Source organism: Homo sapiens, chromosome 3, assembly GCF_000001405.40.
Source record: "Homo sapiens chromosome 3, GRCh38.p14 Primary Assembly".
Lineage (NCBI taxonomy): Eukaryota > Metazoa > Chordata > Mammalia > Primates > Hominidae > Homo > Homo sapiens.
This window is the reverse complement of record NC_000003.12, coordinates 179,685,967-179,706,855: the sequence shown is the minus strand read 5'-3', so window position 1 is coordinate 179,706,855 and position 20,889 is coordinate 179,685,967. Positions and strand designations below refer to the sequence as shown.

General features: G+C 41.7%; 1 protein-coding gene across 6 annotated transcripts in view; it reads right to left on the bottom strand.

Moving 5' to 3' along the window:
• Positions 1-20,889, bottom strand: part of USP13 (ubiquitin specific peptidase 13) — a 136,362-nt gene that overhangs the window by 82,546 nt on the left and 32,927 nt on the right. For 5 of the 6 annotated variants that reach the window (NM_003940.3, XM_011513269.2, XM_017007426.2 and 2 more), the window contains 2 exons: positions 16,555-16,615; positions 5,727-5,848 (listed from right to left, as the gene is read on the bottom strand). In NM_003940.3, coding sequence (NP_003931.2) covers positions 5,727-5,848; positions 16,555-16,615 — 183 coding nt within the window. Of the gene's footprint in view, positions 1-5,676; positions 5,849-16,554; positions 16,616-20,889 lie in introns of those variants that run through there. The other variant, XM_017007427.2, reaches the window with a different exon arrangement.

The window sequence follows — 20,889 nt, the reverse complement described above, 5'->3', positions numbered from 1 at the left end:
GAATATGAATTTAAAAACTGAAGAAACGCAAACAGCGTAGTTGTCGCAAGAGAGGGATCCTGTTTTCCTGCACTTTCCCTGGATCAAGCTAGGTTTTGTCCCTGGCCTAGTGTTTGTAGTATTGACAATGTCACAGATAGCAAGAAACTAAATTCATTTTCTAAGCCCAAGCTTAGAGGTCAGATTTAACAATTCCTACCACTTAGCAAGCAGGGTGAAAAGTAGGAGGTGAACAATTTGCAAGGGTGAAATTAGATACAGGAATGCCCAGGATTTACCCAAGTGGTGTGTTTTCCTCATAACAAATGTACACTCAGATATCCAATATCCTCAACTCATCACACAATGGCATGTGGTCAAGGGCACTTGAATGGAATGTAAGCAGCATGGCTCCATTTCTTAATCTGGTGCAAATGTGACCCTGGACAGGGACATGCCTGGGTGTCTCTGTGCCAGATTAGTCCACATCATGAGCAAATCTGTGATGAACTGCTCGGCACCAACTGACCACAGGGGAGGAGGAAAACAGACTCTCTGCCCTCTCCCTACCCAATTGATTCTGGCCATATGCCTATTAGCCAATGTTCTATTGGCTTAATGCTATAAGCTATTTCTAGCTATCTTTTAAAAACTTACATTGTGGTTGCAAAGTAAACTGGTACAGCCACTTTGGAAAACAGTTCAGTAGTTCATCAAATGGTTAAACAGAGTTATCGCATGACCCAGCCATTCTACCATAGGTATATATCCAAGAGAAATGAAAATATGTGTCCACACAAAAACCTGTACACAACTGTTCATAATAGCATTATTTAGAATAATCAAAAAAATGGGGCCGGGCATGGTGGCTCACACCTGTAATCCTAGCACTTTGGGAGGCCGAGACCAGCAGATCACTTGAGGTCAGGAGTTCGAGACCAGCCTGGCTAACGTGGTGAAACCCTATCTCTACTAAAAATACAAAAATTAGCCAGGTGTGGTGGCATGCGCCTGTAGTCCCAGCTACTCAGGAGACTGAGGCAGGAGGATCGCTTGAGCCTGGGAGGCAGAGGCTGTAGTGAGCTGAGAACACACCATTGCACTCCAACCTGGGCAACAGGAGAGAAACCCTGTCTCAAAAAAAAATTTTTTTAATAAAAAATAAAAATAATGGAAACAACCCAAATGCTTATGGACATAACAAATAGAATGTAAAACAAAATGTTGTATGTACATACAATGGAATGTTATTTGCCAATAAAAAAGAATGAAATATTGATACATGCTACAACATAGATAAACTTTGAAAATATATTCTAAGTGAAAAAGTCAGTCACAAATAGCAACATATTACATGATTCCATTTATATGAAAGGTCCAGAGTAGACAAATCTATAGAGCTAGAAAGTAGATTAGTGAGTGCCACAGGCGGAGCATGGAGGAAGCGCTGGAGGATGATGGCTAAGGGGTATGGGTTTTTTAGTGGGGCAAGAGAAATCTTCTAAAATTAGATAGTGGTGATGGATGCCCAACTCTAATATAATAAACTCCACTAAACTGTAAATAAATAAATAAATAAATAACAAAATTTGTAATCTACATCACTCATATCCTGCACAGTGAGCTGATCATTTTCCCCTGAGTAGCAGTTTCCCATGTGTCTGGGTCCTGGCTTCTGACCCTAGAACCAAGGAAGGAACAAGAAACAATGGAGGAAATTCCCTCAGCTGCCATTTCACCCCCACCTAGCCCACAGGCAATTCTAGCAGCCCTGCGATGGGCCTCATGTCCACTCCAACCCCACCTCTCCTGGTCCTAGCCACCATCATGGTTCCCTGATAGCTTCACAACAACCTCCTTATCGTGGCCTTCCCTCTAGCCCTGCCCCTCTTCTCTGCATAGCAGCCAGAGTGATCTGCCAGAGTGATCTGCTATGAAAATTAGATCCTATCCTTCTCCAGCTTAAAACTCTCCAAGGTTATACTGACCACTACTGATTGATGACATTGAGCTACTCACAGTCAGGAACAAGGAGGAGGTCCCCGGCCTCAACAAGCTTATAATCCATTAGAGATCGGGACTTAATAAATATAGTTAAGCCTTTCAAAAGCCCATTTATCTCCCACTACAAATGCTGTTGTATAATTAGCTTTTTCTTTCCATTTTGAAAACTCATCCCCCATCACCTTCCAGAAATGCCCATAGAAAATAGAGCTGAGTTCACCACAAGCCCCTTCCAGGCTTTATGGGTTTGGGACATGCCACCTTAGCACTTCTGGCCAGGACTTCTTCCTTGTTCCTGACTGTGAGTAGCCCAGTGTCATCGGTCAGTAGCGTTGAGAGTTTTAAGCTGAAGAAGGATAGGATCTAATTTTCACAGAAGATCACACTGGCTGCTGTGCAGGGAAGAGGGCAGGCGTGAAGGAAAGACCACAGTAAGGAGGCTGTTGTGTAGCCTCCTAATCTTTTGAGTGTGACCTATTATAACCTCCTTGTTTGTTTCATCAACTACCCAAATCATGTCTGTGTCCTCCTTAGGACTGTCTCCACCCCTACTAGATCTTTTCTAAACGTTCTGGTTTGCAGTGCACTGTGATTCTGAACAAGACTCAAATAGAATCTTCTCCTTTGTCCTTGAATATCTTTGTGGGTGACAACCAACAAAACATCCTTAGACTTCTGGGCCTATCAAACACTGATCCAGTGTTTTCAGAATATCATCCAAAATCACTTAAAGGCCCTTTTTATGGGTGACAGCTGAAGGTCAGGATCCATCATCCTGTAATCACACTGTGAACTATTTTTCCCTGGATATGTTATCTCAAGTGATGCGAAAAGACCTTGGTACTAGTCCTGGCTCCATCCCATGCCTTTGTAAGCCTCCAGTTCAGTTCTGCACTGGAACTGGCTCAAACTGGCTCATAAGAGTCCAGCTTTAAATTTTAAGAAATTCAGCAAGATGGTTGCTAAACACAGCCATTATAAAACGTTAAATCATAAAAACTTACGACTAAATAAAATGTTTTCAAAAGGTGACATATAATCAAAAATTCTTCACTTCCTAATTGTTTTACTGTATCTCATTATTATCTATGTGTTCTTGAGGTTTTATTTACATGCATGTCAGCGGAATGCTGGAAATTCTGTACAATGGTCTGCTACTACCAATCTCTTTCCAACACCGCATTCAGTGACGTCATATTGATAACCTGAAATCAGTCATGGTGGGAGTATTTACACCATGGAATCAGCAGACACTACAAAACAGAGCTTTTTTTCCCTAGGGAGCCTGTTGTTAAACATTTACAAGCACACCACTGCTCCAATTCCTGATGTCAAAAATGAAGGCATTGGATTTCAAGCTCTAAGACCCCTGCCGAGCTCACAGTGCTATGTCTCTGTGAACCCAGCATCACCCAGAGGTGCTTTAACTTTCTGGTAGAACCTATAGAGTCACTCTCTGAAAATGAAATTCTTCTGTGCTAAAACACTCAGAAGATGAAGGAAGAATCACCTGGTTAGATGGTTTGAGCTCAATAATTTTTGCTATTTAACAGTTTAAAAAGAGAATTGTCGAACACCAAAAATATAGCAAAAGCATGAAAAGAAAATATAGTAACTAGCATCTTCTATGTAGATAAATCCTATCCATTACCATCAGATAAGTCCAGGCTTTTCCTTTTATCTCCCCACCCTCATCTTCCAAATAATTCTCTCTTCTTTTTTCATTCTTAAAGTATTTCTTAATACTAAAAGACTCTATAGTAAAAATGATGATATATCTTGCTGGATTCAGATTTCTATGGCACTTCTCTTATTTTAAATAAGACTATTCACATTTCAAATTATACTCCAAGTACAACAATAAGAAAAGGCTTTTTTATTAATTTTTTTAACATAAAGACTTATTCATGAGGGGCTGAAAGGAAAATAATTTATCATAACATTTATTCACAATGTTTCTTCTCTTCTGACAGCAGAAATAAGAGTTATATTAAACAAGGCAGTAAGAACTCTCAGTATTACAGAAATATAAGCATTGGTATATAATTTCAGGTAATGGGATGAGGTAAGGCCATTTTGTCCACTAATATATTTTATCCTTGGTAACAGCCACATGAGTCAACATGGAATTGGAGAAAGCAAAGGTAATTTAATTCTGTATGCCCTACTGAACACTGTGCACTTAGTACTAAAAGAAGAGGCACAATAAATAAATACACACAAAATTCTGATTTCTGTGATCTTAGATATAAAGTAGATTGGGGCAAAAGGGAATGAATGGTGGAAACCGAGTCCCTAGTGACATGGAAACCCCAAGCACAAATGTCCCCTCTTGGCAGGGACAAGTGAGCAGATGGCTACAGAGAGAGTCATGCAACGTCCAGAAGACTCTGGGACCTAAAGAGCTGGCTTTGGTTCTGGCATGGTTTGAGGAGGGAAAAAATGAACAGGCATGTCTAAACTCAACCCACCCTGGCCCCACTGCCATCTGTGGCCAGGCTCTGGGAAGGCAAGGTGTGCACAGAATGGAAAGAGGAAAAGAAATGGGAGACCAGGCCGGGCGCGGTGGCTCACGCCTATAATCCCAGCACTTTGGGAGGCCGAGGCAGGTGGATCACGAGGTCAGGAGATCGAGACCATCCTGGCTAACATGGTGAAACCCCATCTGCACTAAAAATACAAAAAAATCTCTAGGCGTGATGGCGGGCGCCTGGAGTCCCAGCTACTCGGGAGGCTGAGGCAGGAGAACGGCGTGAACCCGGGAGGTGGAGCTTGCAGTGAGCCGAGATCGCGCCACGGCACTCCAGCCTGGGCAACAGAGCGAGACTCCGTCTCAAAAAAGAAAAAAAACAAAGAAAAAGAAATGGGAGACCAAAACAAAAAAAAGGAAAGAGGACAAAGTGGTACAGGCAATACAAGAAATGAGCAAAGAGCAGGAAAAACAGGGTCCCCACAGGAACTCTGCGCCCACTTCCAGCACGCGAGAATCGAAGGAAAACAAAACCTGGCTTCCCTCTATCACTACCAGCAGATCCAGCTTCAAGTCATTCAAGAAAATTACGGTCCGTCCACAAAACTGGATTCGAAAGAAAGGAAAAGGAAGAAAAGAGAAGGGAAGAGGAAGGGGGAAGCTCACAGCTAAAAATATCTAAAACCTAGGAAGTAGTCTTAGTTCACATAGGGAGTAAAACTGAAAAGAAGGTTCACTTAATCCCAGAGCTCCCGCAGATCTGTAGTTTGTAAATGCTTTGTTCTTTTTGTAACTGCGTCGCTATTGTTTCAGCAGTGGAGCACTTCTATTTTTTTCCAAACAAAATGTTACATGGAAGGCCAACATAATAAACATGATAAAAAGACTGTTATCCTTCTGATCAGAAAAGAGTCCCTCTCCAGCAGTCCCTGTAGATCTGGGGTGCAGAGTTTGAAAATCTAAGGAACAGATTGTGATTTAGGAGGCAAGAAGCCAGCCCAACCTGGAAGAGACCAGCTAATGAGCAACAAAGCCCTAACAGCACTTGAAGTAAGAGACAGCAAAAGGCCCAGCACTACTGAAATGTAAGCCGGCAAGACTCCTGTCACAGAAGAGAAGAGGTATGTGCGTGTTCATGCTCATTTTCATCCTCTTCTCTCATTCAACCGGCTTTTCCCACCCCACCCCACCCCCGCACACACACATCGCACACGCACACACACCTGACACAGAGCCATGCGCATCTAGCTAGCAGCCGTGCACACTCACTGACCAGGGCTGGTAACTCCTCAATATTTGGTAGTGCTATTTCATAGTGATCTGGGAATATAACAAGTTTGGCTTCATCTTCATATTCATAATCGTCGCTATTTAAATCGTCATCAGTATCTAGATCTGAGGAGAAAACAAAAACAAAGAACAAGAAGTGAGGAAAATAATATCCCACACTATGGCAGCACTCACTGGAAAAGCCAGAAATCCAAGGTGATGATGAAATACCAAGGGTGTGACATTTACAACTTTCTCCTCTGACAGGGCCGTCCATCTGTCCTCAACCACCAATAGCAGGCCTTTCCATCAAGTTATGAATACTTATGTATCAGTGACTGATGTATGAAGACTGAGCCATTTCATAAAGCTTTACAGTTAAAATAGACAAATGTGCAAGATACTCAATTCTCAGAAGGAATTTCTCAGAAAGAAAATTTCTTAGAAACTCTTAAAAAGGCAAGGATTGGTAATTACGATGTGTCAGGTACCTGGTTCCTGATTTCACAACAATAGGCTGGAATGGTTGTTTGGTTTCTTGGGGTTTTTTTTTGCAACATCATAATATGGAAGTATGGTTTTAGAGTTGACAAACTTAGGTTCAAGACTAGCTCCAAAACTTAATGTTACTTTGGGCAAGTCATAAACTCTCTAAGCCTTAGTTTTCTCATTTATAGCATGAAGATAATAGCATGTATCTCACATAGTTTATACAGGAGATAAACGAGAACAAGAGGCTTGGCATATAATAGGTAGTCAATAAATGTTAGCTATTATTTAAAAACAAAATCTCCCTCTTGCTCTCTCCCTCTCCCTCTCTTAAAGTGTTGAGTTATTGCCTAGTAGATCCGAGGTGGAAGCCCTATAATGTGAGTAGTCATATTGTCCTCAGCTGTGGAGAATTCTCAGTAAGGAAGATGAGCTCCTCTAGCCTGTTACCTATCAGGTCGTCCCCTCTTTGCTTGGTTCATCTCTGGTAAAGGTTAAACGAAGGCTCAGGGAAATGTCTTGTCACAATATGTATATGGACATTTCAGCATCACTTTCACAGGGATGCCAGCATCCCAGATCATGTTTGTATATTTATGCTTGGAACTATGGTGACAAAGAGCTAGCTATTCCACTCACATGCACACAAACCTACACATGAACAGGCCCATGAACACACACAGAAACATAGGCTCTATAGACAGAAGAAAGTTATTTTACTTAATGGAGCACCCACCTGAGAACCAAAGGATCTAGATTCTGTTATTACCTTGTATGTTTTCAATCAAAAACCTAGTATATGTTTGTGTACAGCTCTGCTCTTAAATTCCCAAAGGTAGGGCAGTTTGTAGTAAAAATAAATAAATAAATAAATAAATAAATAAATAAATAAATAAAATAAATAAGATACAGCTAAAATGCAATCTAAGCTTTTTTTTTTTTTTTGAGGCAGGGTGTCACTCTGTTGCCAAGACTTGAGTCCACTGGTGTGATCATAGCTTACTACAACATCAAACTCCCAAGCTCTAGCTATCCTCCCACCTCACCCTCCTGAGAAGCTAGGACTGCCAGGCTTGGCTAATTTTTTTTATCTTTTGTAAAAACAGGATCTCACTATGTGGCTCAGGCCAGTCTCAAATACCTTGCCTCAAGCAATCCCCCCACCTCAGCATCTCAAAATGCTGGGATTAAAGGCGTGAATCACCACGCCTGGTTTCAATGTTTTAATAAAAGATTCTAAATTGTAAGAGTCAGAAATACCAAAATAAAGAACCAAACCAAACATTACTAGGTAGCAATAGAAGTGAGGTTCATTTGACAAAATGTAATATTAAAGAAGTTTAATTAGTAAGTACAGGCATTAATTTAAAGGATATAATTCAAAGAAAGATTCTATATATTATGAAAATGTGAATGCTTCAATATTTATATTTTTTTAAGTTGGAATCTAAATGTTTAATAAAAAAAGGTATTCAACCCGGCCAGGCATGGTGGCTCACACCTATAATCCAGTACTTTGGAAGGCCGAGGCAGGTGGATCACGAGGTCAGGAGTTCAAGACCAGCCTGGCCAAGATGGTGAAACCCTGTCTCTACTCAAAATACAAAAATTAGCCGGGTGTGGTGGCACGCACCTGTAATCCCAGCTACTCAGGAGGATGAGGCAGGGAATTGCTTAAACCCAGGAGGAGGAGGTTGCAGTGAGCCGAGATTGCACCACTGCACTCTAGCCTGAGCAACAGAGCAAGACTCCATCTCAGAAAAAAAAAAAAAATAGTATTCAACCCAATAGAATATTATTTAAATCATAGTTATTTAGACTATGTAGGAACAGAAAATGTTTATGCTATGTTAATGCTAAAAACACAAAATTCATCTTCACTGTAAAGACTTTATATTATGCTCATAGACAAAAATGAGAAAGAAACCTAAACAAATGGAAATAGAGTGAGTGAACTTTATTCTTAAATTTTTCTTTATTATAATATTGTATATATAACAATTTTAAGTAACCAGGGCATAAATCTTGTGTTTATGTGTGCAGATTCAGCTCATACAAGATATTATCTGTCTCCTTTCCACAGAAAACATGCTCATTTAAAGTTAATTCAAATCTTACCTGGCATAAATATAATACAAGAAAAAAAAAAACCCCACTCTGGCATTTACTAGCTATGTAACCCTAGAAAATTTGTTTCTAAGTTCATTCTTCTTGTAAACCATAGATATTATCTACCCCACAAGACTGTTAAGTGGATTAAACAAGATAAAGTTTTAAGGCACCCTAGTACAGGATCTGGTAGGTACTAGGGGACTCCACAAACAATATCTGCCATCACCATCATCATCATCACTTTCTCCCTATTCCTGACAACTAACACAACCAAAAGTGCCTTCCCTTCCCTTTGGCTGCAAGACCATGGTACCATGTGGGGATCTTCTGTGAAATCTGAGTATTCAGAAGTTATCACCTTCAAATTCTTCTAGACTGTCAGCTCAGAGAGCCGGAAATGAGTCTTACCTCCTATGTTCCTAGCCCCTGTACTGTGCCTGGCACACACTACACACCCTGTAAATGTCTGTGAATGGGGACTTCAGGAAGTCAACAACATCAACATGCTAAAAACAACAGCAAAACAAGAATATCAAAAGAGTTGCATTGTATTTTAATTGGCGACTCAGATGTTTAAGAGGAAGCAAGACTGCTGTCATGCAGAAAAGCAGAACTTTGTTGTGCTTCTTTACACTTAGTTTAAGTTTACTTTTACTTTTAATTCAATGGAATGGAAGAGGGGCATGATCTTTCCCAAAAAACTTAATCCAAATTAGGGAAAAGTCCATCAGAGGTAACATACATTCTGATTTCAGGGGACAAATCTAAGGTTCCTCTTGAACACATATGACCCCACAGCCCTAAGTATAACCTAAAATTTCCACATCTCTAAATCATGTCTCATCACCCCAAAAATATTTAGTTGAAGAAGCTACAGAGTAATCATACCCTAGGGACCCCCAACTTCTCCCCAGCTGCTACCTTCTATTGTGGCTATTAAGTGGCAATACCCAAGAAAGCCTTCTCTAAGTTTAAAAATAAATAAATAAATATAAACTCTGCTTTGATGATCCTCCCAGATCCCTGGGAGAAGTGGCTAGGACTACCCATTTCCCCAAGATGCCTAAGCTATGAAGGACAGTGAAGGAAAGAATGGGTCCCTACACAAAGCCAGGGCTCTGATTCCCAGGTCAGTGTTCTCTCACCCTGACCATATTAACTTTAATTGTTGGAGGTAAGCGATCTGTCCAAGGGCTGCAAAATCTAACCAACTATTTACCTTCAAAAGAACATATTATTTTACCCACTTCAGAAAGAAATAGCAAAATGTAGTTTATTAGAACCTTCTGGTTATCAGAGGGGCAGATGAACTTTCTGAACAGGCCCATTAGCGAAACTTTGCACAAATTTTCTGTTTTCAATCTATTCCTTAACAAGTTTAAACACCTGGTCTAAGCCAAAAAAAAGTGGAATTTAAGTTTTCTGAGGTGAAGTGGTGGCTCCTTGGAAGTTCCACTTTCAGACACAGAGAACTGAACTCCTTTACACCTATTTGTGAAAACTAGGACAGACTCCATAAAGATGTAAATATTTAACACTGTTTTTTATGATGTATCAAACATATGGTATTTTTTAAATTAAATGCATTACCAGTTATTTATATATCTATGCATATCTGTAGCTTTATTGTAAAATATATATATATGGAATTAGGGCAGAATCACATTATGAGCCATAGGGTATTTCTTGAAGGATCCAGAACTCCCTTACCTCCTCGCTTCTCTACTATCTCCTTCATATCAGCTTATACCCCAAACTCACCAACTTTCATATTTTTCCAAGTTATCTTTCTACAACACAACCTAATAGTGTCCCTTTCTAGCTGAACTCTCCCAGTTCACAGCACCCCTAAGCATCCCAGCAATTTTTTTCACAGCAACCCTAAGCCAAAAGAAATGCCTGGCCAGGCGCAGTGGCTCACGCCTGTAATCCCAGCACTTTAGGAGGCCAAGGTGGGCAGATCACGAGGTCAGGAGTTCGAGGTCAGGTTTTGCCAACATGGCGAAACCCCGTCTCTACTAAAAATACAAAAAAATTAGCCAGGTGTGGTGGCCAGCGCCTGTAATCCCAGCTACTCAGGAGGCTAATGCAGGAGAATCGCTTGAACCCGGGAGGCGGAGGTTGCGGTGAGCCAAGATCATGCCATTGCACTCCAGCCTGGGCAACAAGAGCAAGACTCCATCTCAAAAAAAAAAAAAAAAAAATGCCTAATGGCTCTGTTTATTTAGTAGTTAGATCAAAAAAACTTGGTTAAGTATTTATGTTCTAACAACTAACCATTAGCAAAAAATACGTATAAGTTGAAAGAAAAAATATTTTACTCTGAAATAGCCCCAGTCCTTCACTAATGGGATGTGTTCAGCTGTTGGGCAATGCACAACTTCCCTGAATCGGATCAGCCACTGCCACCCTTATTTCCTATTTCACATTGATTTTCACATGGTGCTTGACTTTTACCACAGAAACCACTAAAAAAAACTCCAGCTTTACAAAGATATGGAGTTATTGGAAGGAATACAGGGTAACCTAATAGTAAAACTACACTGTGTTTAGTTCATGCAATGTTTGAGCACCAATATGTTCCCTCAGAGACTTAAAATATCCTTCAGTGCCCTGGTGAGCTCACTGTAGCACTCCAGGGTGCCTCAGAACACAGTTTGGGAGCCGAAGGGTTAATGGCTCCCTAGGGACTACAGAAAAAAGAAATCTAAAAGCATTACTTATGTATAGACAATCGCTGAGAGAATACACAATATATACAAAGATGTACACACAGAAAATTTGTCTCTGGAGGCAGTAACCAAGTGGCTAGGATACAGGGAAGGGAGGGGAAAAAAACTTAATTTTCACTGAGGAGCCCTTTATAACTTCTCAATTTTAAGCTTTACCCATGAGGTACATATTGAAAAAAAATTTTAATCCTAAATGTTTTAAAAGTATAGAATTTAAATGATTTTTCAATTACCAATAATTGTCGTTGCTAGTTAAAAAAAAAAAAATAGCAGCAAAAGCTAGTACTGAGGTCATTTCACTTGAATGAACATCAAAGTAATATGGAGGGAAAGTGATTTGACCACTGAGAGGCAGGGTGCTGCTCAGGACACCAGGAAGCCTTTTGGCACCAGCCAGTGGCCTCAGCTTCCCTTGTAAAGTCAATTGCAGGTTGTAACCAAATGATTCAATGGTTTCAATGTCACTGTTGAGCTGATGGAAAAGGAATTATTCACAAAGTCATCAAATGAATGGGAATAAAACACCTCCACCCAAGATAAAGCATTGGCCACCTACATCTGCTTCATGAAGCCGAAGAAGGAGCATCATAATTTCATTTCAGTACCAGTGAAATAGTACTTCCTAGCCAAAAAATAACAGAGAAACTGCAAGAGAGCTCTGAGTTATCTTCCTCTCCATGAGGAAACAATCCCAGCATCCCTTTGAGGGAAAGAGTCTGTGGCAGAGGCTACTAGCTGCCTCCCAATACCCACTGTCCCCTTCTTCCTAATAAGAGACCCCAACTTTACTCAGCGGAGCCCGCTGGTGGGCTTTATTTTCCAGTCTCCTGTGCAGCTAGATGTGGCCACGTGACCAAGTTCTGCCAGAGAGGCGTAAACTGATTGGGGGCTCTATGAGAAGGCTGACAAAGGCAAGGTGACTCTGCTGGGAGATTAGACTATTTTGTCCTTCCTCTTTCTCCTCTTTTCTTTGTTTCTTTTTTTTTTTTTTTTTTTTTTTTGAGATGGAGTTTCACTCTTTGCCCAGGCTGGAGTGCAATGGTGCGATCTCAGCTCACTGCAACCTCCGCCTCCCAGGTTCAAGCAATTCTCCTGCCTCAGCCTCACAAATAGCTGGGATTACAGTCATGTGCCACCATGCCCAGCTAATTTTTTGTATTTTTAGTAGAGACAGGGTTTCACCACGTTGGCCAGGCTGCCGAACTCCTGACCTCAGGTGATCCACCCACCTTGGCCTCCCAAAGTGCTGAGATTACAGGCATGAGCCACCGCGCCCGGCCTCCCCTTTCCTCTTTCATGCTTTCCAGAATCAGGATGTGATGGTTGGAGTTCCAGTAGCCATTTTGGACCGTAAGGTGACCATGAGGTTGGAAATCATGGGCCAGGATGGAGGGTGAAGCAGGAATATGGGAAGAGCCTAGATCCCTGGTGAACATGAGGCCATCACATCACCACACTTACTGTTTCCCAACATCCTCTACATGACAGCAAAATAAGCATCTATCTTGTTTAAAGTTACCAGAATCGGCCGGGCACAGTGGCTCACATCTGTAATCCCAGCATTCTGGGAGGCCAAGGCAGGCAGATCACTTGAGCCCCGGAGTTTGAGACCAGCCTGGGCAACATGGCAGAACCCTGTCTTCACAGAAAAATACAAAAATTAGCCAGGCATGGTGGCGCATGCCTGTGGTCCCAGCTACTTGGGAGGCTGAGGTGGGAGGTTCACTTGAGCCCTACAGGAGGCCGAGTCTGCAGTGTCCATGATTATGCCACTGCACTCCAGCCTGAGTGACACAGTGAGATGCTGTCTCAAAAATAAATAGGCCAGGTGTGGTGGTTCACGCCTGTAATCCCAGCACTTTGGGAGGCCAAGGTGGGCAGACCACCTGAGGTCAGGAGTTCGAGACCAGCCTGACCAACATGGTGAAACCTCGTCTCTACAAAAAAAAAAATACAAAAATTAGCTGGGCATGGTGGTGGGCACCTGTAATCCCAGCTACTCGGGAGGCTGAGGCAGGAGAATTGCTTGAACTCGGAGGGCGGATATTGCAGTGAGCCGACATCACACCACTACACACCAACCTGGGTGACAGAGCAAGACTCCGGCTCAAATAAATAAATAAATAAATAAACAAAGTTACTAGTGTTTTAAATTTACCGTTACATAAACCAGATGTAACCCTAATACACAGCCCATCACTGAAATTAATTTATAGGTCACATTAACTCAGGGCTGGGACCAATGTGACAAGAGAAAAGTGCCTGTTCCTAGGAGATGAGAAGCATCAGTTGAGGGGGCTTTAAATCAGAACTTGCAAAAAATGAATTCCTGTAAAAAATAACTTCCTGGCCAGGCACAGCAGCTCACACATGTAATCCCAGCACTTTGGGAGACTGAGGTCAGAAGATTGCTTGAGCATAGAAGTTCAAGACCAGCCTGGGCAACACAGTGAGACCCCATCACTTTAAAAAAAATTTTTTTTAATTAACCATGTGTGGTGGTGTGTGCCTGTAGTCCCAGCTACTTGGGAGGCTGAGGCATGAGGATCACTTGAGCCTGGCAGGGTGAGGCTGCAGGGAGCTATGATTGTGGCACTGCACTCCAGCCTGGGCAACAGAATGAGTTCCTGTCTCAAAAACCGAAAAAGAAAGAACTCCTACTGGGATGACGGAGGTAAATTTGTAAAGAACCTGGATATAAAACAATAGGGAGAAATGGAATGTGGGGCTAATGGCATTCATTTTTAAATTAATATAGTCATAGAACACTTTTTTGGGGCTGTGAGTTCTATATGCACCTTGTGGTTTTCTAAGATATGAAATCTTGCCTGAATACAGAGAATAACCTGTAGAAAAAGCCTCACTGAAACAAAATGGTAGGTAGTCCCCTACGGAAGAATGGAAGGAAGGGGTCCACACAGTTTGAAGCACAAAACCTCAGTGCTAACTTTCAAATTAATTTCTAAAACAGTTTCCTGACAATATCCTCTACAACCAAAATAATCACTAGAAAAAAATCAAACCTCCAGGTCTTATGAAAAGAAGACACAAAAATTAAAGGCCAAGGTCAGCTAACTTCTTCATTCAACCAAAGAAAATAATAAAAATTAACAATGGTAAGTCGAAATGTTTAGTTAGTTCTGCCTTCAAGAAGAACCTGCTGACGTTACTTAATTCAAATGAAATCATATGATCTATATTAGTGCAAAGGTGCTGGAAGACTAATAACCAAAGCATCAGAAGATATTCAATAATTTCAGCTTTGGGGTTCATGCTAGCTTGGTTTGGGTTTAGTTGGTTAAACTGGGTTGTGGTCCAAAGACAGGTTGAGAAGTAAGGAAGATTGGCCAAGGTAGAAGAACCAACTGCAGATAAGCCTCGTACAGAAAAGCATGAGCTGAGAAGCAGGAGAAGACAGCAAGGTTGGATCCAGCACAGAGTAACTGAGAATCAAACCAGGAAAGAAACTCAGCTCCACAACAGTTTTCAATGGCTTCACTTTTCAAATAATTCATGTGTCTTTTCATCACAGTAACATGTTTGTTACAGAAAAAGTTTAAATATAGAGAAGCAAAAAGATGAAAATCAGAATCACTTCCATTCTATTACCGGGAAAGAGCTACTATTAACAGTTTGGAGTATTCTTCCAGACTCTTCTGATCTCCCAGTTATATATGTACACATGTGTATGTGTGTGTAGAAGTGTGTGCACACACACAGATATACATTCATACATGCATGCATACATACATATACATGTCTATATCTGTATATACATATGTATATGTATGTATAGGATTTTTTTACAAAAATGAAATCATACTATGGAAACAATTTTGCAAATCCTTTCAAACAATAATCTGAGGCATTTAGGCACATAAACTTGTTTGGTCAAATATTATCAAACCACTTTTTCGCTTGAGAAAACCATATCAGAAGCTTAATATGACCATAATTATATGATATAGAAATCAGTAGTCACTTGCATAAACAAAACTGGCCCTTCCAATAAGGGAAATTTTCAAATCACCATTAGTCAAACACTAGAGCCATCATTATTGCAGGCAAGGTCCACTGATGCTAAAATTAGTGAGCAAAACTTTGAGGAGAAACAAAATATTTAGCACAGTCTCAAAGTATCACTCTCAAAATATTTCTTAATTACACTATAACTTTACAGTGAAGAAACCCAGCAGACACTACCTTAACAATGATCAAGTTCAGCATGACCAGTATGACAACATGTTAACATCATGTACCCCTGATACCATGCACTAAGAAGGGCACACTATCTCTGTAGGATTCTTTCCAAAAATGCATACGTACATACTTCACATTTTTCATGAGAAAACATCAGATAAAGCCAAACTGAGGTCTAGTCTACAAAATAACTGACCAGCACTCTTCAAAAGTGTCACAATTATTAAAGACAAAGAAAAACTGAAGAATGATCAGAGTCTGGAAAGGATTAAAGAAACATGACAACTGAATACAATGCGGAACCCTGGATCATATCTTGTAACAAAGAAAGGACATGAGCGGGAGAAAAATTATGAAATCTGAATGAAGTCTGTAGTTTGGCTAATTTTAGAAATAAAAAGAAAAAAATTGACTTCTTTTTTTTTTTTTTTTTAAAGACAGGATCCCGCTCTGTCACCCAGGCTGGAGTGCAGTGGCAATCATAGCTCACTACAGCCTCAACTTCCTGGGCTCAAGTGATCCTCCTGCCTCAGCCTCCCAAGTCACTGAGACTACAGACACACACCACTATACCCGGCTAATTTTTTAATTTTTTGGTAACGACAGGGCCTTTTTATGTTACCCAGGCTGATCTCAAACTCCTAGGTTCAAGCAATCCTCCTGCCTCAGCCTCCCAACGTGCTGGGAATACAGGCGTGAGTCACTGCAAGAGCCAGCTATTGAAAGTCAGCAAAAAATTGGCCGGGTGCAGTGGTTCACGCCTGAAATCCCAGCCGAGGCAGTTGGATCGCTTGAGCTCAGGAGTTCCAGACCAGCCTGGGCAACATGGTGAAACTCCGTCTCTACAAAAAGTACAAAAAATTAGCCAGTCGTGGTGGTGTGTGCCTGTGGTCTCAGCTACTTGGGAGGCTGAGGTGGGAGAATGGCTTGAGCCCGGGAGGCGCAGGTTGTAGTGAGCCAAGATGGCGCCACTGCATTCCAGCCTAGGCGAGAGAGCCAGACCCTGTCTCAAAAAATAAAAATAAAGTAAGCAATAAACAGAACTGAAGCAGAATTATAATTACTCTCAAGTCACTGTAAGTATAATTGCTTCAAAGCACTAAACCCAACTAAGAGGGCTAAAAGCACACTTCACTGGTAGGTAAACGCAAAGTGGAGGCGGGCCTTAAATCTGTGCCTCTCATCCTTAAATTGTACAGCAATAAACAACCTATTACTCTAAATCAAAGATGCACATGAGTATGCACATATACACACACACAAACACAAAATCTGAGCATGCTACTGATAACTATTTACCTAAAAAAATCTTGGAATTCCTCCTTTTTGGTAACGCTCCACCAGACGCCCCTCTTACCTTCTGAAAAGAAAACAAAAGATCATTAAAATGCGGCCTATAAAATAAACATCTTTGTGAGGGAAAAGCACATCTCAGAGGTTCCTAGTTTTTACAGAAGGCCAAGAAGAAATATTCCATCTAGATTAGCAATTCCAGGATAAACAGGGAACTGACCCAGGTTAATGCAGGTAGGTGAAGGGCAATGCTATCCACCTGCTTATTTTTATTAAATTATAAAGAAAACGCTTCTGGAAAAAGAAATGGAAACCAGGGATCAAGGTGAAGTCGATACTTAAATTTCAAATCAGCACCTGCTCCCAAGAGGGCAGGAGCCCAGGCCTGACATTGAAAAACTCAGGAAAGATGATGGGGCTCCAGAAGGTGAGGATCTTATTCTCCTGCTTACCCAGTGGGTCTCTAGTGCTTGGCCCTGGGCATGCCTAACAACTACTGTTGAAAGGCTTAATAAATATCAATAGTCATTGATAGTCTGGTCATGTGAAATCTCAATCTAACCTCCCTAAACATTTTTGGAGCACCGACAAGTGGCTATGTTTGCCATCGTAAGCATCGTGTATTTTCTTTTTTTTTGGCTTTTTTTTTTGAGATGGAGTCTCACACAGTCGCCCAGGCTGGAGTGCAGTGGCGCAGTCTCGGCTCACAGCAACCTCCGCCTCCTGGGTTCAAGCGAGTCTCCTGCCTCAACCTCCCGAGTAGCTGAGATTACAAGCGGCTGCCACCACACCCAGCTAATTTTTAATATTTTTAGTAGAGACGGGGTTTCACTGTGTTGGTCAGGCTGGTCTTGAACTCCTGACCTCGTGATCTGCCCACCTCGGCCTCCCAAAGTGCTGGGCTTACAGGTGTGAGCCACCGCACCCCACCCAGCATCGTGTATTTTCTACCTATGATGGAAGCCATCAGCAGTAATGAAATAAAATGCCCATCGAGTGGTAATACAAAAGAGGCCATTCATCTGATGCTCACACAAAACATTTTACTCTCAAATCAAGTATAATGCCAAAACCATATTTCCACAGTGTATGTTTTTTCAGTTACTAGAAAAAAGCATGTTTCCAGCAGACCACCATGTGTGGGTTTAACGCCGCATCATTCCAAGCAGCCACAGGTGTCGAGACCTTGCTGCACATTTTCTGCTTCTCAGTTTGTCCTCTCATGAGTCCTAAGTCTGCTTTCTCACATTTTAATAGTTGACTTTGAAGGCTGACTCATCCTTGTGATTCTCACATTAAGTTTTTACAGCTTCTACTACAGGTTTACAGTTCACATCTTAGGAATCTGCATTACAGAACACTTTCTCAAAAACCTGTCCCTCCAAATACTGATGCCAAATGCACATCTCCTCTCTTAGAGTCGCTCCTCTATTATCTCAGAGCCTCTTTCTTCCCCCTTTCCACTTAACTGCTTCAAAAAGGGATGAAATAAAACCTATTGCAAAGCACCTTTAACAATCCTGGAGGTCCCCTGAAATCTCTCTACAGAATTGTATGGTGTCCTTTTAATTATTTTAGTCTCACTGCCTCCTCCCTTCCTGCATGATGCCGGAAGGATAACAAGGAGGGGTTGCATGAAAACTTGCTAGAACACAAGCCTGTCCCAGACTGTGAGATTCACATCTTAGACTTGCAAAAAAGTAGAACCTCCTTCTAAAGACCATCACCTCTGCATCAGTCAACAACCAAAATCAACAAGGTTTGAGAAAATAAAACTCCTCCATCAGCAAATATGACTGTGCCCATGTGTCAGATTCTATGCTGGAGCTCAGACTTCCAACTGAATGAAGACATGTTCCATCTTTTAAGGAGCTAGCCAGCATAGTAGGGGAGCATATATGTAAACAAATGGTACCACAGATTCTGATGAGTGCTAAGAAAGATTCAAAAAAGGCACAGTCATATCGTAAGGAGGAAATGAGCAGTTCATTTGAGGAAAAGGGTGTGGGCAGGGCTGGTAAGAGCAGCAGCAATCCTGGCATATAGCAGCTACTGAGTAAATATTTGTTGGATGGATGGATGGATGGATGGATGGATGGATGGATGGATGGATTGATGAATGGATGGATGGATGGATATACGGATGGATGGATATACGGATGGATGGATGGATATATGGATGGATGGATGGATGGATGGATGGATGGACGGATGGATGGATGGATGGATATCCTGATTACAGGGAGTAAAACAGGTAAGAGGGGAGTGGGGATAGAAGTAAGACATCCTAGACAGAGAAAACAGCATACACAAAAGCATAAAATCACAGTGTGCTCCAGAAAGAAGAAGTGATTTGCTATGTCTGGAGCACAAACTTGGTGAAATAAGAGTGAGGGTTAGAAAGGCTGCAGGCTCCAGATCATGAGCACCTTATAATTACATGCAAAAGAGTTTGGACTTCATCCTGTAGAAGAGGGAGAAACATCAGAGATTTAAGTGCCAGTGTGCCATAGATATGTGCATTTGGAAAGATGGCTCTGGGAGCAGTGTGCAGACTGGGTGGGATTGAAGGCAGCAAGTTTGAGGGAAGGAAGGTTAGTCAGGAAGCAACAGCACTAGTCCTTTTTTTTTTTTTTTTTTTTTTTTTTGAGACAGAGTTTCACTCTTGTTGCCCAGGCTGGAGTGCAATGGCATGATCTTGGCTTACCGCAACTTCAGCCTCCCAGGTCCAAGCGATTCTCCTGCGCCAGCCTCCCGAGTAGCTGGGACTACAGGCATGCGCCACCATGCCCAGCTGATTTTGTATTTTTAGTAGAGACAGGGTTTCTCCATGTTGGTCAGGCTGGTCTCGAACTCCCGACCTCAGGTGATCCACCCACCTCAGCCTCCCAAAATGTTGGGATTATAGGTGTGAGCCACCGCACCTGGCCAGCACTAGTCCTTTTAAGGATAATGAGCACTCAGACAAGAACAGCAGGAATGGAGAAGACAGGGTGGACCTCAGAGCTATTTGGGAAGCCCAGGTAACAAGATCACCAGTAAGACACAGAGGGAAAGCAGATCAAAGAATATCTAGGTCTCCAGAATTGAAGAGGAAGGAAATTTTTTAGCAAGAGAATACTGTGTTCAGTCTGGGCACACCAACCTTGAAGTACCTATGAAATGCTGGAGTAGAAAAATCCAGATCAGAATAAGATGATCAGATCTTCACCTCCAGAGAGATATTAATTTGAATGTCATCAGCTTAGAGAAAGTGGTTAAACAAAAATATGGATAACCCTGATGAAGAAAAGTATCCTTCTGAGGAAGAAGACAGGATGGCCAAATGGCATCCTAGGAAATGCCGATAACTAAGAGGTAAACAAAGGAAGAGATGTTGGTGAAAGAAACTGAGAAAGGATAAGCGGAAGCCAAGAAAGAATGGTGTCAAAGAAAACAGGAGAGGAACAGTTCCAAAGGAAAACAAGCTCAAACATGCAAATACTCAAAAAGTCAAGTAACATTAGAGCTAAAACATATCCACCAAGTGTGACACCTAAGAGGTGACTGACAACCTGGGCAGTGTTAGTGGATTAACAAGATCAGACTGCAATGTTGAGTCTTAGTGGCAGATGTAGTACAGACCAGATCAGAAAAGTTTTTAAAGAAGCTTTTAATAAAAGAATGCAATGACTGAAGAAGGACACAAATTAGAAAGATGGTTGTGTGGCGTTGGTTTTGTTTTTCTAAGAGACAGAGTCTCACTCTGTTGCTCAGGTGTACAGTGGCCTGATAATAGCTCACTCTGTAACCTGAAATTCCTGGGCTCAAGTATTCCTCCCGCCTCAGCCTCCCAAGTAGCTGAGACTAAGGCATGCGCCACCATTCCAGGCTAATTATTTTATTTTTTGTCAAGACGGAGTCTCACTATGTTGCCCAGGGTGGTCTCAAACTCCTGTCCTCAAGCCAGGCTCCCACCTTGGCCTCCCAAAGCACTGGGATGACAGGTGTGAGCCACTGAGTGAGCTTCCAGGACACAAGGAATAAGTTAAGTGAGTTCCTGTCCAGGGATTCCCTTTTTTCCTGCAAAGTACAAGTCAAGATAATTTTATGAGTATGATGAGGATACCAAGGAATGTATAGAAAAGGCTTAAGGAAAGCATCCAAAGGTTAGAATGGCCACTCACGGGAGTGGGACAGGATACAGACTAGAAGGTTTGCTGGGCAGGGAGAGGGCGCAATGGAAGAGGAAAGGCCCAAAATGTGACACGCTCAAACCCATCATAGTGTGGGGTTTCCAGCAGTCTGTGCATGGAAGTAGACAGTGACATCAATGGAGCAACTGTTTGGAGTTCTGGAGGA